At 44.4% G+C, this 19,222-nt stretch overlaps 1 protein-coding gene across 1 annotated transcript, besides 3 other annotated features; it reads right to left on the bottom strand.

The window, feature by feature from the left end:
• MARS2 (methionyl-tRNA synthetase 2, mitochondrial) lies at nucleotides 2,141–5,167 on the bottom strand. The gene has a single exon (NM_138395.4). The coding sequence runs from the start codon at nucleotides 5,128–5,130 to the stop codon at nucleotides 3,349–3,351; it is 1,782 nt and encodes a 593-aa protein (NP_612404.1). The 5' UTR covers nucleotides 5,131–5,167; the 3' UTR covers nucleotides 2,141–3,348.
• Nucleotides 4,764–4,883: an enhancer, noted in NCBI's record as "active region_16943". NCBI's record gives its function as "activates an Ori minimal core promoter by ATAC-STARR-seq in GM12878 lymphoblastoid cells {active_cell/tissue: GM12878}" and the evidence as "EXISTENCE:reporter gene assay evidence [ECO:0000049][PMID:35858748]".
• Nucleotides 4,924–4,973: an enhancer, noted in NCBI's record as "active region_16942". NCBI's record gives its function as "activates an Ori minimal core promoter by ATAC-STARR-seq in GM12878 lymphoblastoid cells {active_cell/tissue: GM12878}" and the evidence as "EXISTENCE:reporter gene assay evidence [ECO:0000049][PMID:35858748]".
• Nucleotides 5,114–5,353: a silencer, noted in NCBI's record as "silent region_12216". NCBI's record gives its function as "represses an Ori minimal core promoter by ATAC-STARR-seq in GM12878 lymphoblastoid cells {active_cell/tissue: GM12878}" and the evidence as "EXISTENCE:reporter gene assay evidence [ECO:0000049][PMID:35858748]".

Raw genomic sequence — 19,222 nt, 5'->3', positions numbered from 1 at the left:
GAAGACCAGTGTCCCAGGGCCCATGTTCCAGCCTAGGCCCTTCTTAAGTACTCTGACATCAACTTCATATTCAATTTATTGGGCTCTTCATAGACCCTACAAAGTCCACAGATTCTTAAGAGAAATAATGAGGTCTACATGCAGAATAAACTGAGGTTTCAATAAAATCAGAGATTATATCTATTTCTTATGCTCCTTCTTATAGCCATAGGTCTTCTGTCTAATCTATGAGTTCACTTGTGAAACAGCCCTCCAGTATATAATGGGGCAACTTAAAATGTGCATTGCCCACTTCTCACATGACTTCACAGAGAGGATTATAGTCTGCTGAGTGAGTTGACGTCTTTTTATTACTCTCCTAATGTGACATCCATGAATACCTGATCTAGGCAGTGGTCTTTCACCTCCTGCAACGCTGCTTCCAGGAACACACCAAAATGAATATTTGAGGACTTCAAGGATAGTATTTGGAAGACAGTTACTTTCTGGCGAAGGAATCCAGAAAATGCCAGATAAAAGTATTAACAGTGCTAGAGTAGGGAATTCTACAAGTGTATCATTTTCTACCAGAAGTGGTTAGGATGCCCCCTCTTGGAAGTACATCCCCTTCAGTTTTCACGTATTCTCCATTTGCTATTCTTAAACTTCTGGACCAACTCAAACACATCACTAATTATTCAAAGAATATTTGCTGTATCTATTGTGCCTCCTATAGAGAATCCAACTGGTTCATCTTCAGGATCACCGCAGAAGTCAGATCCAACTTACCACACATTCCTCCATTTAAAATACCCTGTCTTTGGAAAGTCAGGCCTCTGCACCAAAGCTAAGCCATCATATCCCCTGTGACCTGCACGTACACATCCAGATGGTCGGTTCCTGCCTTAACTGATGACATTCCACCACAAAAGAAGTGAAAATGGGCTGTTCCTGCCTTAACTGATGATATTACCTTGTGAAATTCCTTTTCCTGGCTCATCCTGGTTCAAAAGCTCCCCCACTGAGCACCTTGTGACCCCCACCCCTGCCCGCCAGAGAACCCCCTTTGACTGTAATTTTCCTTTACCTACCCAAATCCTATAAAACGGCCCCACCCCATCTCCCTTCGCTGACTCTCTTTTCCGACTCAGCCCGCCTGCACCCAGGTGATTAAAAAGCTTTATTGCTCACACAAAAATAAATAAATAAATAAATAAATAAATAAATAAATAAATAAACAAAATAAAATATCCTGTCTTTCTAATAATTACGCCCTGTCCTATCTGGTTCCCCTATGTTCTTGTGTCCTCCAGTATCACAAATATCCAGGTAGCCAGCTAAGTGCCTGCACAAATGACAGACTGCACTAAAAGAACTCCATTGACACCCTCCAGCAAGCAAAGGTCGATTGTATTGACCAGCACAAGGCTATAGGAAAGATCATTCAAGTAGAAGACACTGTCTCCATCCATGGTAGGAACTGTAACACTGCTATAAGAGCACTTCAGAGGCAGAGGTTATCATCTCACTGGTTTTCAAATATGTTTTCCTTCATCCACGTAAATACATATTATCTTTTTCCACTCTCTGCTCTATCCACCTGTAGGAGATATTACACTCCTACATCCTATGCCCCAGTAGTCTGTGCTAATAACCCCAGCAGTTAACTTGAACATGTCATGTGGAAAGCCCAGACTTATGAATAAGAAGGGTCTGAAGGGACATTTGTGGCAACAGTCCTTCCACCTTTAGAATACCTTCAAGCATTCTCTTCTAAGCAATATTCCAGCAACCAAAAATTCCTCATTTCGCTGATTAATAAACAGAAACTGGAACTGAATGGTGGCACCTAGAATAAATCCAGGGGAACTACCAGTACAATAGTTTAATTCATTGTGGGCCCTCTCTACTTGCTACCATACTTAGAATGTATATTCCAAGGCAAGTTCTCATTTTGAACTTTGGCCCAGCTGTCTAATCACCTATGAGACATAACTGGCTTACTATGTTGTAATCACTGTATAAATTGCTAACATCTTCTCTGTGATGTTCTCTTATGGAGCCTTAGAGAGATTCCTAAATCCAGTCTGAGATTCCTGAAGCATTGGTCAGTTCCTCCTTTCACCATCACCTTCAACGAATGCAACAGAACAGATCTGAATAAGGTACTTACGAACTTTTAAACTTTAATAACTTAAGTTAAAAGAGCAAAAGAAATAATCAGTTAAAATTACCTGAAAGTTGTGTATTAACATTTATAATAACTATTACACAATTTCTATATTGTATTAAAGATCCTGATTGACCAAAAGAAATCATGAGGTAAATTATGCACATGGATAACAAAATTAAGACTATAAGAAATATAAAGAAAACATTGCCCTTTTGAACTATTTACAAATTTTTAAATCATACCTGTAACCTAATGTTACTAAAGTTTAAAATTTTTAACATACCAAGTGCCTCAAGAGTTTTATAATTTATTATATAAACAACTTGATACATTTACTTATTCACTTATTAAACATTTAACAGAGTAAATGTCATTTTTCAGTAGTCTGAAAAAGAACGAGGATTCTGATAAGTTTGGGGGGGTTTTTTGCTTTCCATTAAAACAATAGTGGTTGCAAAGCTATCCCTTATTTTAAGAAAAGCAATAAAAATGTAAAGATCTGCAAAATTAGAAAGCAGAAAACTAATTTATTCTAAATATTCCGAATCCTCAATCTTTAGTAAGTAAATGTGTGAGATTAGAGCCATCTACCGGTTGAAGTGTGATGTTACACAACCCAACTGTTGGACTATTAACAAAGCAGGGAGACTTAGTTGTAGGAATTTAAATGGGGATACACATGGGCAAAAATCATCTGGTCTAGGACACTGGTTCAAGGGTTTAATAAAATACTCTCTTTTTATCAGGAAACCCAACATGTGTAACAAAGTAGGATCCCCCTGTAAAACCACCAGTAAGGGGCCTCCAACCCTGACCCTCAAAGAAAGGAGTCACTAATTAGCCTGAGAAGCAGAGGCCAGGCCAATGAAAAACCAGCCACGAGAGGTAGTTTGGGCAAATAACTGTGGTTTGGAAGGAGGCACAAAGAAGGAACAGCATTAGCAACACTGTCTCTTACCCATCTTTCCCCTGAAGACATCTTAGACACACAATGCACAAAGGACAGTGATCAATGGTCACAGAGAAATGAATAGGAGCAGGCACCTGAAAGGCTACAAACCTCTTTTCACAGGGACACAGCTTATGTGCTCATTTGATTCCACACTTAAGAAAATACTAGTATAACTTTCCTGAAAATAAAAAATAAAAAGATAACACATTTGCTTTTTTACCACAAGCCGGTAAGAACTGAGTTTCTAGGTCCGGTGGGCTTTCACCAGCCAAGTCCTGGACTGGTCTAGTCTTGGAAACAAAAGCCCAGTTTCAGGTCCCAGCCTCCTCCCTTCAAAAGGGCATGGATGTCCATAGAATCGAGGCAAGAAATAGAGCTCTCCAAGACTCCTCTCTGAGGCAGAGACCCCCAGCCTAGACAGCAGCTTGTCAGCTAGGCTTGGGGTGACAGGCTGCAGCAAAGTCCCAAAGACTCGCAAACATTCCAAGGCCACATGAAGCACAGTACCCAGCCAGGGAGCATCCACTGGGCTCTCCCAGTTCAGCTTCCATGGTGCATGCCTTTGGACAAAACCATTAGTTTGCCGGACACAGCTGGACACGGCCTCCAGAGCCTTATATATCCGAAAGTTATCATAGTGGTCTGCTACCTGCTTTGGCAAAGTGGCCACTGCGCTCACCAGAGCATAATCCTCTGCCTGAGCACGAACTGACGGCCCCACCAACCCTGGCTCACTAGGGAAGCAGGTAGTGCAGAAGGCTGGGTAGGTCTCAGAAGGATTTATTCTTTTGGCAGTGCATCGGTTCAAGAGACCTCCCAAGGCATCTGCCAGCTCGGAGTTCAGCAACTTAACCACCTTTTCATCATAGTAGTCACAGTCCCAGTTGGGGACGCCCTGCCGAAGGAGAAAGTAGCGGAAGCCATCCACGGTATAGCGGTTAAGGCAAGTCCTAGGATCCACCACGTTGCCCAAGCTCTTGGACATCTTTTGGCCACAGACTGTCCAGTGGGAATGGACACAGATGCGCTGTGGCGGGCTCATGCCGGCCCCTAACAGGAAGGCAGGCCAATAGATGGCATGGAATTTGAGAATGTCCTTACCTATGATATGAGAGGTGGCCGGCCACCAAGATTTGAACTCAGCATTTGGGTAGCCAATTACAGTGAGGTAGTTGACCAGGGCATCCAGCCATACATAGATGGTCTGCGAATCATCCCCGGGCACCGGAATGCCCCAGTGCAAGTGGCTACTTCTGCGAGACACGGACAGGTCGGGCAGCTCCTCGTCCAGCCACTGAAGAACTACGTGATGAAATGGTTCGGGGGTGATCGCCTGAGGGTTGCCCCGCAGCCACCGCTGGAGTGGCTTCCGGAACTGGGAAAGCCTGAAAATGTAGTTTTCTTCCTTGGTCCAGGAGACTGGATGCCCGCTCTCGAGAGATACAGGAAACGAATCCCCCGATGGGCCCGGCTGCTGGGTGACCTTGGCCTCAGGCAGGAAGCACTCGTCGGAAGCGCAATACCAACCTTCATAGACGCCCTTGTAGAGCAGACCGCGGGACTTAAGCACCCCCCAGAAGTGCTGCACAGCCACCCGGTGCCGGGCCTCCGTGGTGCGGATGAAATCTGTGCAGGAGATACCGGCCTCCTGGAAAAGCTGCTGGAACTGCTCAGAGACTCGGTCGCACAGCTCGGTCGGGGCCAGGCCCGCGGTAGCTGCTGCCTGCTGAATCTTCAGCCCGTGCTCGTCGGTACCAGTGGAGAATCGCGTGGCGGCCGTGCTGGGACCTCGGAGGCGACGGTGGCGGCATAGGGCGTCCGCCAGTAGTGCCGAGTACAGGTGCCCGATGTGCGGCGCCGCGTTCACGTAGAAAATGGGTGTAGTGAAGTAGGCGCGCACATCACAAGCATCATCGCCGGCACTGAGGGAGCCCGAACTGTAGTAGCGTGGGCCGAAGTCCTCCAGGAGAGACAGCCTACTAGCCCCCGTGCGTCCTAGCAGGCGGAGGACGGACGTTCGCAGCATGGTGCAGACCGGCCGCAAGCGGAGGAGGCGGCGTTCTGACAGCACGTGTGAGAGGCGCATGCGCAGCCGGGTCGCGCCGCAGCTTCCGGCCGGAAAGCCAATGAAACGCGGCCCCGAGCGCCGGCCCTCACCGCCCTCCCCGCCCGGCCCCGCCCCGCCCGCGCCTGCGCCGTCCGCACGCCGAAAGCCGCGGCGCCAGAGGCCGCCAATGGACGGCGGCTTGCCAGAAAAACAGCTCAGAGTTGCCGGGTTTAGGAGAGGCTATGAAAGAAGACGAACCTCTTTGCCTTCGTATAACATACTGTGTTTCCTGCTTTGGATTGTAATTTTATATTTATGAATCTGTTTCCCCCTCTAGGCTGAGCTGCTTGTAGGCAAGAGTTTTATATTCAGCCGTTTGTCTAAACCCCGTCCGTGGCTGGCATACTGCAAGACAGAGTATTGCTCTGCACATGCCCTGTCGATATCTAAAATGTCACCTAAATTTTATCTCAGAGCCTAAATCAATCTGTAAGGGAGGGAGAGAGAAAAAAGATGAAAAATCATTACCTACAGCATTTTGAGAGAAGGATAAGAACTGAGAATGGAAGAGAAGTCTTTAAACAGTTTTTGTTGAATCAACAAAAGTAGATTTGTGATCTGCCAAGTTCTTGCCAAAGTTTATTGAGATCCAGGAAAGTAGAGTGCAATATGCTGTCACTGTGCATATAAAGAATAATTTTCAAATTTATTTCTCAAAAAGTTAATTTTTTTAATGGTCTTGAAGTTCTTTTAAAATAGTGTTTCTCAAGTTTGCTTTTAGTAATGGAACCTTAGAATTTTTTTTAGGGGAGGAAACCTCAGGAGCCCAGAATTGAATTAATGTTAATCCCTAGTTCATAACACACTCTCATCTTTGATCTTTTTTTTTTAATTTAATTTAAGTAGCATATACATTTAATAATAAAATGGAGCAGCTATGAACCTACAACCCAATCTAAGAACTACAAGTGGTTTCAGAGTGTGGTCCCCAGAGCAGCAGAACTGGCAGCACCTGGAACTTCGTTCGATATGTATATTCTTAGGCCCCATCCCCCACATACTGAACCAGAAAACTCTGAGGGTAGGGCCCAGTAATTTAGATTTTAAGGTGATTCTGATGCACATTAAAGTTTGAGAAACACTGAACTAGAAAATTACCAGTGATTTAGATCTGTGTGCTCCTTTTCTTCTCGTACTGTCCTCCCTGAGGTAGTCATTGTCCTGAATTTTGTTCTTGCACATTTGTGTGATCACATACAAAGTATGTCTAAGTAACATTGTTTAATTTTGCTTGCATTTAAATATTCTAAAAAGGATATAATACTACATGTAGTCTTCAACTTGCCTTTTTATTCAACATTTTGTTGCTATATTAATCCATGTTGTTGCATGTAACTGCATTCATATGTTCTTAATACATGTTGCATGTAATTCATTCATTTTGACTGCTGTATAATAACCTTTGACTGAACACATATGGTAACTTGGATCTGATTTCTCTAGTGATATGATGAAAGGTGGACCAATCGAATTCTGTATAAGAGATATAAAAAATAACTTTGGATACTCAGTTGATGTGCTCTTATTTAATCCAGCAGTTTAAGAATGACCTACAACCATCTGGTCTTCAACAAAGTTGATAAAAACAAGCAATGGGCAAAAGACTCCCTATTCAATAAATGGTGCTTGGATAACTAGCTAGCCATATACAGATGAAACAGGACCCCCTTCCTATACCATATACAAAACTCAACTCAAAATGGATTAAAGACTTAAATGTAAAACCTAAAACTAAAAACCTTAGAAGGTAACCTGGGAAATACCATTCTGGACATAGGACCTGACAAAGATTTCATCATGAGGATGCCAAAAGCAATTGCAACAAAAACAAAAATTGACAAATGGGACCTAATTAAAGAGTTTCCGCACCACAAAATAAACTATCAACAGAGTAAGCAGACAATCTACAGAATGGGAGAAAATATTTTCAAACTATGAATCCAAGAAAGGTCTAATATCCAGAATCTATAAGGAATTTTAAAAATCAATAAGCAAAAAACCTCATTAAAAAGGCAAAGGACATAAACAGACACTTCTCAAAAGAAGATAGACATGCGGCCAACAAGCATATAAAAAATGCTTAACATCACTCGTCATTACAGAAATGCAAATCAAAACCACATTTAGATACCATCTCACACCAGTCAGAATGAATATTATTAAAAAGTCAAAAAACAACAGATGCTGGCAAGGTTGCAGAGAAAAGCAACACATACACTGCTGGTGGGAATGTAAATTACTTCAGCCATTATAGAAAGCAGTTTGGTGATTTCTCAAAGAACACAAAGCATAATTATGATTTGACTTAGCAATCTCATTATTGAGTATATATCCAAAGGAATATAAATCATTCTACTGTAAAAAAAAAACGCACTCCCATGTTTATTGCAGCACTGTTCACAATAGCAAAGACATGGAATCTTCCCTAAATGCCCATCAACAGTAGACTGAATAAAGAAAATGTGGTACATATACACCATGGAATACTATGCAACCATAAAAAAGAACAAGATCATGTTCTTTACAGCAACATGGGTGGAGCTGGATGCCATTATCCTAAGTTAACCAACATAGGAACAGAAAGCCAACTATCATATGTTCTCACAAGTGGGAGCAAAACATTGAGTACATATGGACACAAAAAAGGAAACAGCAGACTCTGGGGCCTACTTGAGGGTGGAGGAAGGGAGGAGAGTGAGGACTGAAAAACCATCTATCGGGTACTATGCTTTTTACCTAGGTGGAGAAATAATCTGTACACCAAACTGCCGTGACACACAATTTACCTATATAACAAACAGGCACATGTACCCTGAACCTAATACAAGTTTTTTTTAAAATGGCAAGTGAACATAGGTAAAACTTAAAACTGGAAGGTATATACGGCACCCTCCAGAACTGGCAGATAAATGGAAGCTAAGTGTCTGAGAAACCAGGTTATCCAGAAATTCTTACTATTTTTTTTTCCTTTTCCATTGAAGTACTGCCTCAGCATACAAGTGTGCTATTTTTTCTCCCATTTAAAAAAAAAATTCTCAACCTCCATTACTGCACCATTTCTTTCCTTCCCTTTAGAGCAGAACTCCTTAAAGAAATGGCCATTGATACACACTTCAGTGATTCAAGTTTTCACTCTTAGAAACAATACTACTATTAACACTGTCGTATATGTCTCCTGGTGCCTATATGCTGAAGTTTCTCTTGGATATATACATGGGAATGAAATTGCTGGATCATAGAGAGTATGAGTTTTCCATTTTTCAAAATAATGCCAAGTTATTTTCCAATGGTTAAACAAATTTACACTCTACTCAGCAATATACCCTTGAATAGATCTCTCCAGTATTTGGTATTGTCTGTCTTAATTTTTGTCAGTCAAATAGATGTAAAGTATTATCTCACTAATATTTATTTATAACAGCAGTATTCACAATAGACAAAAGGTGGAAACAGCCCAAATGTCCATCATCTGATGAATGGATAAACAAATGAGATATATCTATACAATGGACTATTACTCAGCAATAAAAAAGAAAAAAGTGAGAGAGGGAAGATGGTGGTTAGGAGACAGGGCTGATGTGCAGCTCCCACTTGGATGGAGAGAACAGTGTGGGCAGATTCACACCATGAACTTTTGCTCCAGCAACCACTGCAGGAGCATATCAGGAAAACCATAACAAATCACAGATCCTTTAAAATAAGTGGCAGGCCCCTGCAAATTCCACAAGACAGGTGAAAAACTCTGGTGCTATCTCAAAAACACCACCTCCCAGCTAGAGGCCAACCAACTCAGGACATTACAGCAACTCATGACAGAACAACCCTGTTCCAAGGAAGGAGAAAATAACAGCTAATTCCACTGCCTGCAACATCCTGGCTAACCAGTGGTTCTGAATCTGTCCACGTGACAGCTTCACTGCTGGCATAACCAGCATTTGAGAAAGCAGGCACTCTAAACATATCTACAACCAAGGACTCTCACAGAGTCTACGTCACTCCCCTACCATCTCTACCAGAACAGGTGCTGGTATCCACAACTGGGAGACCTAAAGACGAATTGCAACACAGGAATCTTCACAGACATTCTCCAGCACCAGCCTAGAGTCTGGTAGCACCACTGGGTGGCTAGACCCAGAAGAGCAATAACAATCAGTCTGCAGACTGGCTCGCCAGAGCCCCATCTTTAGGGAAAGGAGGAGTGTACCACATCAAGGGATCACCCCATGAGTCAAAAGAATCTGAGCAGCAGCCCTTGAGTTTCAGATTGTTCCACTGAAATAGTCTATCCAAATGAGCAAGAATCAGAAAAGTAATTCTGGTATTATGACAAAACAAGTTTCTATAACACCCCCAAAAGACCACACTAGCTCCCAGCAATGGATCCAAACCAAGAAGAAATCTCTGAATTGCCAGATTAAAATTTCAGAAGGGTGATTATTCGGCTTCTCGAAAAGATACCAGAGAAAGAAATTTTAAAAAACAATACAGAGTATGGATGAAAAACGCTCCAGAGAAATAGATATCATAAAGAAAAAACTATCACAACATCTGAAAATGAAAGACACATTTAGAGAAACACAAAATGCACTTAAAAGTTTCAACAACAGAATCAAACAAGTAGAAGAAGAACTTCAGAGCTCAAAGACAACTCTTTTAAATTAACCCAATCAGACAAGGACAAAGAAAAAAGAATATTTTAAAAAAATAAACAGGCCAGGCACGGCTGGGATTACCCAGCACTTTGGGAGGCCGAGGCAGGCAGATTGCCTGAGGTCAGGAGTTCGAGGCCAGTCTGGCCAACATGGTGAAACCCCGTCTCTATGAAAAACACAAAAAAATTAGCCGGGTGTGGTGGTGTGCGCCTGTAATCCCAGCTACTCAGGAAGGTGAGGCAGGGGAATTGCTTGAACCAGGGAGGTGGAGGTTGCGGTGAGCCGAGATCAGGCCACTGCACTCCAGCCTGGGCAAGAGAGAGAGACTCCATCTCAAGAAAAAAAAAAAAAAAAAAGAACAAGACCTCCAAGAAACTTGGGACTATGTTAAACAGCCAAATCTAAGAATAATTGGTGTTCCTGAGGAAGAAGAGAAATCTAAGAGTTTGGAAAACATGTTTGAGGGAATAATCAAGGAAAACTTCCCTGGCCTCACTAGAGATCTAGACATCCAAATACAAGAAACTCTAAGAACATCTGGGAAATTCATCAGAAAAAGATCATCACCCAGGCACATAGTCATCAGGTTATCTAAAGTCAAGACAAAGGAAAGAATCTTAAGAACTGTGAGGCAAAAGCATCAGGTAACCTATAAAGGAAAACCTATCAGGTTAACAACAGATTTTTCAGCAGAAACCTTACAAGCCAGAAGGGACTGGGTTTATCTTTAGCCTCCTCAGATAAAATAATTGCCAGCCAAGCATTTTGTATCTAGCAAAACAAAGCTTCATAAATGAAGGAAAAATAAAGTATTTTTTAGACAAAAAAAAATGCCAAGAGAATTCACCACTACCAAGCCAGCACTACAAGAATTGCTAAAAGGAGTTCTAAATCTTGAAACAAAACCTTGAAATATACCAAAATAGAAACTCCTTAAGCATAAATCTCACAGGGCCTATAAACCAATAACACAATGGAAAAAAAAAAACAAGGTATTTAGTCAACAACTAGCACTATGAGTAAAACAGCACCTCACATCTCAGTACTAATGTTGAATGTAAATGGCCGAAATGCTCCACTTAAAATTTACAGAATGTCTCAAGGATCCAGAACTAGAAATACCATTTGACCCAGCCATCCCATTACTGGGTATATACCCAAGGATTATAAATCATGCTGCTATAAAGACACATGCACACGTATGTTTATTGCGGCACTATTCACAATAGCAAAGACTTGGAACCAACCCAAATGCCCATCAATGATAGACTGGATTAAGAAAATGTGGCACATATATACCATCGAATACTATGCAGCCATAAAAAAGGATGATTTCATGTCCTTTGTAGGGACATGGATGAAGCTGGAAACCATCATTCTGAGCAAACTATCGCAAGGACAGAAAACCAAACACCGCATGGTCTCACTCATAGGTGGAAATTGAACAAGGAGAACACTGGGACAGAGGGCGGGGAACATCACACACCGGGGCCTGTCGTGCGGTTAGGGGGAGGGGGGAGGGATAGCATTAGGAGATATACCTAATGTAAATGACAAGTTAATGGGTGCAGCACACCAACATGGCACATGTATACCTATGTAACAAACCTGCACATTGTGCACATGTACCCTAGAACTTAAATTATAATAATTTTAAAAACTATTTTAAATAATTTTAACAGCTTTAAATAATCTATTATATGCCAATACATAAATAACAACATTTCAAGTTAAAAAAAAATTTTTACAGAATGACAGAATGGATAAAAATCCACCAAACAATTATCTGCTGTCTTCAAGATACTCACCTGATACATGAGGACTCACATAAATCTAAGAGAAAGTGGTGGAGAAAGATATTCCCTGCAAATGGAAACCAAAAGTGAGCAGGAGTAGTTATTCTTGTATCAGACAAATTTTAAAGCCACAACAGTTTAAAAAGATAAAGAGGGACATTATATAATGATTTAAAAAATCAGTCCAACAGGAAAATATCACAATCCTAAATATATATGCACCTAACATGGGAGGTCCCAAATTTATGAAACAATTACACTAGACATAAGAAATGAGATAGATGGCAACATAATAATAGTGGAGACTTCGGTACTCCACTAACAGCACTAGACAGGTCATCAAGACAGAAAATCAACAAAGAAACAATGGACTTAAGCTATACCCTAAAAGAAATGGACTTATCAGATATTTATAGAACATTCTACCCAAAAACTGCAGAATATACACTCTTTTCATCAGCACGTAGAACATTCTCCAAGATAGACCATATGATAGACCACAAAACAAATATCAATAAATTTTTTCAAATTGAAATTATATCAAGTACCCTCTCAGACCACAGTGGAATAAAACTGGAAATTCACTGAATGGTAATAGGAACACAACTTACCAAAGCCTCTGGGATACAGTAAAAGTGGTGGTTAGGAGGGAAGTTCATAGCATTAAATGCCTACATCAAAAAAACTGAAGAGCACAAATAATCTAAGGTCACACTTCAAGAAACTAGAAAAACAAGAACAAACCAAACCCAAACCGAGCAGAAGAAAATAAATAACAAAGATCAGAGCAGAACTAAATGAAATTGAAACCAAAAAACAATACAAAAGATAAATGAAACAAAAAGCTGGTTCTTTGAAAAGATAAACAAAATTAATAGACCATTAGCAAAGTTAACCAAGAAAAGAAAGATCCAAATAAGCTCAATTAGAAATGAAACAGGAGATATTACAACTGATACCACAGAAATACAAAAGATCATTCAAGACTACTGTGAACGCCGTTACACACACACACTAGAAAATCTAGAGGAGACAGATAAACTCCTGGAAATATACAACCCTCCTCGATTAAACTAGGAAGAAATAGAAACTGAACAGACCAATAACAAGCAGCAAGATTAAAACAGTAATTTTTAAAATTGCCAACAAAAAAAATGTCCAAGAGCAGATGGATTCACAGCTGAATTCTCTCAGGCATTCAAAAAGAATATACCGAGCATTCATTCAGGAAGCACTCATGAAGAGCCTACCAGGTGCCGGCCCTGGCCTGGGGCTGGGCTTAGAGCCGGGGCAGGATGGCCCGGCATCTGCTCCATGGAGCTCACAGCCCAGCCTAGGCTGGCAACTCCAGTCTGCCCCAGTTTCCAGTTCTGTCCATTCCCCTTGCAGCTCAGCATGGATGAAGCTTTGAAATCCAGCTCTCCCTCTCCCTCTCCCTCTCCCGTCTCCCCACGGTCTCCCTCTCCCTCTGTTTCCACGGTCTCCCTCTCATGCCGAGCCGAAGCTGGACTGTACTGCTGCCATCTCGGCTCACTGCAACCTCCCTGCCTGATTCTCCTGCCTCAGCCTGCCGAGTGCCTGCGATTGCAGGCACGCGCTGCCACGCCTGACTGGTTTTCGTATTTTTTTTGGTGGAGACGGGGTTTCGCTGTGTTGGCATGGCCGGTCTCCAGCTCCTAACCGCGAGTGATCCGCCAGCCTGGGCCTCCCGAGGTGCCGGGATTGCAGACGGAGTCTCGTTCACTCAGTGCTCAATGGTGCCCCGGCTGGAGTGCGGTGGCGTGATCTCGGCTCGCTACAACCTCCACCTCCCAGCCGCCTGCCTTGGCCTCCCAAAGTGCCGAGATTGCATCCTCTGCCCGGCCGCCACCCCGTCTGGGAAGTGAGGAGCGTCTCTGCCTGGCCGCCCATCGTCTGGGACGTGAGGAGCCCCTCTGCCTGGCTGCCCAGTCTGGGAAGTGAGGAGCGTCTCCGTCCGGCCGCCATCCCATCTAGGAAGTGAGGAGCGCCTCTTCCCGGCAGCCATCCCATCTGGGAAGTGAGGAGCGTCTCTGCCCGGCCGCCCATCGTCTGAGATGTGGGGAGCGCCTCTGCCCCGCCACCCCGTCTGGGAAGTGAGGAGCACCTCTGCCCGGCCGCGACCCCGTCTGGGAGGTGAGGAGCGTCTCTGCCCAGCCACCCCGTCTGAGAAGTGAGGAGACCCTCTGCCTGGCAACCGCCCCGTCTGAGAAGTGAGGAGCCCCTCCGCCCAGCAGCCGCCCCGTCTGAGAAGTGAGGAGCCTCTCCGCCCGGCAGCCACCCCGTCTGGGAAGTGAGGAGCGTCTCCGCCCGGCAGCCACCCCCTCCGGGAGGGAGGTGGGGGGGGTCAGCCCCCGCCCGGCCAGCCGCCCCGTCCGGGAGGGAGGTGGGGGGGTCAGCCCCCCACCCAGCCAGCCGCCCGGTCTGGGAGGGAGGTGGGGGAGTCAGCCCCCCGCCGGCCAGCTGCCCCGTCCGGGAGGTGAGGGGCGCCTCTGCCCGGCCGCCCCTACTGGGAAGTGAGGAGCCCCTCTGCCCGGCCAGCCGCCTCGTCTGGGAGGGAGGTGGGGGGGTCAGCCCCCCGGCCGGCCAGCCGCCCGTCCGGGAGGGAGGTGGGGGGGGTCAGCCCCCCGCCCGGCCAGCCGCCCCATCCGGGAGGGAGGTGGGGGGGTCAGCCCCCCGCCCAGCCAGCTGCCCCATCCAGGAGGTGAGGGTCGCCTCTGCCCAGCCGCCCCTACTGGGAAGTGAGGAGCCCCTCTGCCCGGCCAGCCGCCCCGTCCGGGAGGGAGGTGGGGGGTCAGCCCCCCGCCCGGCCAGCCGCCCCGTCTGGGAGGTGAGGGGCGCCTCTGCCCGGCCGCGCCTACTGGGAAGTGAGGAGCCCCTCTGCCCGGCCACCACCCCGTCTGGGAGGTATGCCCAACAGCTCATTGAGAACGGGCCATGATGACAATGGCGGTTTTGTAGAATAGAAAGGGGGGAAAGGTGGGGAAAAGATTGAGAAATCGGATGGTTGCCGTGTCTGTGTAGAAAGAAGTAGACATGGGAGACTTTTCATTTTGTTCTGCACTAAGAAAAATTCTTCTGCCTTGGGATCCTGTTGATCTGTGACCTTACCCCCAACCCTGTGCTCTCTGAAACATGTGCTGTGTCCACTCAGGGTTAAATGGATTAAGGGCGGTGCAAGATGTGCTTTGTTAAACAGATGCTTGAAGGCAGCATGCTCGTTAAGAGTCGTCACCACTCCCTAATCTCAAGTACCCAGGGACACAAACACTGCGGAAGGCCGCAGGGTCCTCTGCCTAGGAAAACCAGAGACCTTTGTTCACTTGTTTATCTGCTGACCTTCCCTCCACTATTGTCCTATGACCCTGCCAAATCCCCCTCTGTGAGAAACACCCAAGAATGATCAATAAAAAATAAATAAATAAATAAATAAATAAATAAATAAAAGAATATACCAATCTTACTTAAACTGTTCCAAAAGATAAAGAGGGAATCCTCCCTAAATCGTTCTGTGAAGGCAGTATCACCCGAACACCAAAACCAGGAAAGGACATAACAAAAAAATAGAACATTACAGACCAATATCCTTGAAGAACATAGACGCAAAAATCCTTAACAAAATACAAGCTAACCGAATCCAACAAATACTAGCTAACCAAATCCAATACTAGCTAGCCGAATATCAAAATGATAATCCACCATAATCAAGTGGGTTTCATACCAGGGATGCAGGAATGGTTTAACATATACAAGTCAATAAATGTGATACATCACATAAACAGAATTAAAAACAAACATCATATGATCATCTCAATAGATACATAAAAAGCATTTGACAAAATCCAGCATTGCTTTATAATTAAAACCCTCAGCAAAATCAGCATACCGCAAGGTAATAAAAGCCATCTATGACAAACCCACAGCCAACATTATACTGAATGGAGAAACATGGAAAGCATTCCCCCTGAGAACTGGAACAAGGCAAGGATGTCCACTTGCACCACTTCTATTCAACATAGTACTGGAAGTCTTAGACAGAGCAATTAGACAAAAGAAAGAAATAAAGGGCACCCAAATCGGTAGTGGAAGCCAAACTGTCACTGTGTGCTAATGATATGATCATATACCTGACTGAGAATAGTGGCTCACGTCTGTAATCCTAACACTTTGGGAGGTCGAGGCACATGAATCACTTGAGGTCAGGAGTTTGAGACCAGCCTGGCCAACATGGTAAAACCCCATCTTTACTAAAAATACAAAAACTACCCAGGCATGATGGTGGGCACCTGTAATCCCAGCTACTTGGGAGGCTGAAGCAGAGGAATCTGCTTGAATTCAAGAGGCGCAGATTGCAGTGAGCTGAGATTGCACCACTGCACTCCAGGCTAGGTGACAGAATGAGACTCCATCTCAAAAAATAAAAATAAAGTAAAAATAAAAATGATCATATACCTAGAAAACCCTAAAGACTCATCCAAAAAGCTCCTAAATCTGATAAATGAATTCAGTAAAGATTCCGGATACAAAATTAATGTATGCAAATCAGTAGCACTGCTATACACCAACAATGACCAAGCTGAGAAATCAAGAACTCAACCCATTTTACAACAGCTGCAACAAAAAAAATAAAATACTTAGGAATATACCTAACCAAGGAGGTGAAAGGAAGACTATGAAACACTGCTAAAAGAAATCATAGATGACACAAACAAATGGAAACATGTCCTATGCTTACAGATGAGTAGAATCAATATTGTAAAAATAAATATACTGCCAAAAGCAATCTACAAATTCAATGCAGTTCCCATCAAAATAGCATCATCATTCTTCACAGAACTAGAAAGAACAATCCTAAAATTCATATGGAACCAAAAAGGAGACCACATAACGAAAGAAAGACTAAACAAAAATAACAAATCTGGTGATATCACATTACCCCCACTTCAAACTATGGTACAAGTTTATAGTTACCAAAATAGCATGGTACTAGTATTAAAAATAGGCAGGTTGGCCGGGCACAGTGGCTCACACCTGTAATCCCAGCACTTTGGGAGGCTGAGGCAGGCGGATCACCTACCTGAGATCGGGAGTTCGAGACCAGCCTGACCAACATGGTGAAACCCCCATCTCTACTAAAAATACAAAATTAGCCAGCCGTGGTGGTGCATGCCTGTAATCACAGCTACTCCGGAGGCTGAGGCAGGAGAATTGCTTGAACCTGGGAGGCAGAGATTGTGGTGAGCCGAGATCGCGCCATTGCACTCCAGCCTGGGCAACAAGAGTGAAACCCTGAATTTGGGGGAGGAGCCAAGATGGCCGAATAGGAACAGCTCCCGTCTACAGCGCCCAGCGTGAGCGACGCAGAAGACGGGTGATTTCTGCATTTCCATCTGAGGTACTGGGTTCATCTCACCAGGGAGGGCCAGACAGTGGGCACAGGCCAGTGGGCACGCCCACCGTGCGCAAGCCGAAGCAGGGCGAGGCATTGCCTCACCTGGGAAGTGCAAGGGGTCAGGGAGTTCCCTTTCCCAGTCAAAGAAAGGGGTGACGGACGCACCTGGAAAATCTGGTCACTCCCACCCGAATATTGCGCTTTTCAGACCGGCTTAAAAAACGGCGCACCACGAGACTATATCCCACACCTGGCTCGGAGGGTCCTACGCCCACGGAGTCTCGCTGATTGCTAGCACAGCAGTCTGAGATCAAACTGCAAGGCGGCAGCGAGGCTGGGGGAGGGGCGCCCGCCATTGCCCAGGCTTGCTTAGGTAAACAAAGCAGCCAGGAAGCTCGAACAGGGTGGAGCCCACCACAGCTCAAGGAGGCCTGCCTGCCTCTGTAGGCTCCACCTCTGGGGGCAGGGCACAGACAAAAAGACAGCAGTAACCTCTGCAGACTTAAATGTCCCTGTCTGACAGCTTTGAAGAGAGCAGTGGTTCTCCCAGCACGCAGCTGGAGATCTGAGAACCGGCAGACTCCCTCCTCAAGTGGGTCCCTGACCCCTGACCCCTGAGCAGCCTAACTGGGAGGCACCCCCCACCAGGGGCACACTGACACCTCACAGGGCAGGGTATTCCAACAGATCTGCAGCTGAGGGTCCTGTCTGTTAAAAGAAAAACTAACAAACAGAAAGGACATCCACACCAAAAACCCATCTGTACATCACCATCATCAAAGACCAAAAGTAGATAAAACCACAAAGATGGGGAAAAAACAGAACAGAAAAACTGGAAACTCTAAAAAGCAGAGTGTCTCTCCTCCTCCAAAGGAACGCAGTTCCTCACCAGCAACGGAACAAAGCTGGATGGGGAATGACTTTGACGAGCTGAGAGAAGAAGGCTTCAGACGATCAAATTACTCTGAGCTACGGGAGGACATTCAAACCAAAGGCAAAGAAGTTGAAAACTTTGAAAAAAATTTAGAAGAATGTATAACTAGAATAACCAATACAGAGAAGTGCTTAAAGGAGCTGATGGAGCTGAAAACCAAGGCTCAAGAACTACGTGAAGAATGCAGAAGCCTCAGGAGCCGATGCGATCAACTGGAAGAAAGGGTATCAGCAATGGAAGATGAAATGAATGAAATGAAGTGAGAAGGGAAGTTTAGAGAAAAAAGAATAAAAAGAAATGAGCAAAGCCTCCAAGAAATGTGGGACTATGTGAAAAGACCAAATCTACGTCTGATTGGTGTACCTGAAAGTGATGGGGAGAATGGAACCAAGTTGGAAAACACTCTGCAGGATATTATCCAGGAGAACTTCCCCAATCTAGCAAGGCAGGCCAACGTTCAGATTCAGGAAATACAGAGAACGCCACAAAGATACTCCTCGAGAAGAGCAACTCCAAGACACATAATTGTCAGATTCACCAAAGTTGAAATGAAGGAAAAAATGTTAAGGGCAGCCAGAGAGAAAGGTCGGGTTACCCTCAAAGGGAAGCCCATCAGACTAACAGCGGATCTCTCGGCAGAAACCCTACAAGCCAGAAGAGAGTGGGGGCCAATATTCAACATTCTTAAAGAAAAGAATTTTCAACCCAGAATTTCATATCCAGCCAAACTAAGCTTCATAAGTGAAGGAGAAATAAAATACTTTACAGACAAGCAAATGTTGACAGATTTTGTCATGACCAGGCCTGCCCAAAAAGAGCTCCTGAAGGAAGCACTAAACATGGAAAGGAACCCCCGGTACCAGCCGCTGCAAAATCATGCCAAAATGTAAAGACCATCGAGACTAGGAAGAAACTGCATCAACTAACGAGCAAAATAACCAGCTAACATCATAATGACAGGATCAAATTCACACATAACAATATTAACTTTAAATGTAAATGGACTAAATGCTCCAATTAAAAGACACAGACTGGCAAATTGGATAAAGAGTCAAGACCCATCAGTGTGCTGTATTCAGGAAACCCATCTCACGTGCAGAGACACACATAGGCTCAAAATAAAAGGATGGAGGAAGATCTACCAAGCAAATGGAAAACAAAAAAAGGCAGGGGTTGCAATCCTAGTCTCGGATAAAACAGACTTTAAACCAACAAAGAT

This window comes from Homo sapiens, chromosome 2 (genome assembly GCF_000001405.40).
Source record: "Homo sapiens chromosome 2, GRCh38.p14 Primary Assembly".
NCBI lineage: Eukaryota > Metazoa > Chordata > Mammalia > Primates > Hominidae > Homo > Homo sapiens.
The sequence above is the reverse complement of the archived record's forward strand: the minus strand, read 5'-3'. Positions and strand labels throughout refer to the sequence as shown.

Bases quoted from the DNA above. Each gene is read 5' to 3' on its own strand.
- MARS2 (NM_138395.4), bottom strand. From the start codon at position 5,130: ATGCTGCGAACGTCCGTCCTCCGCCTGCTAGGACGCACGGGGGCTAGT.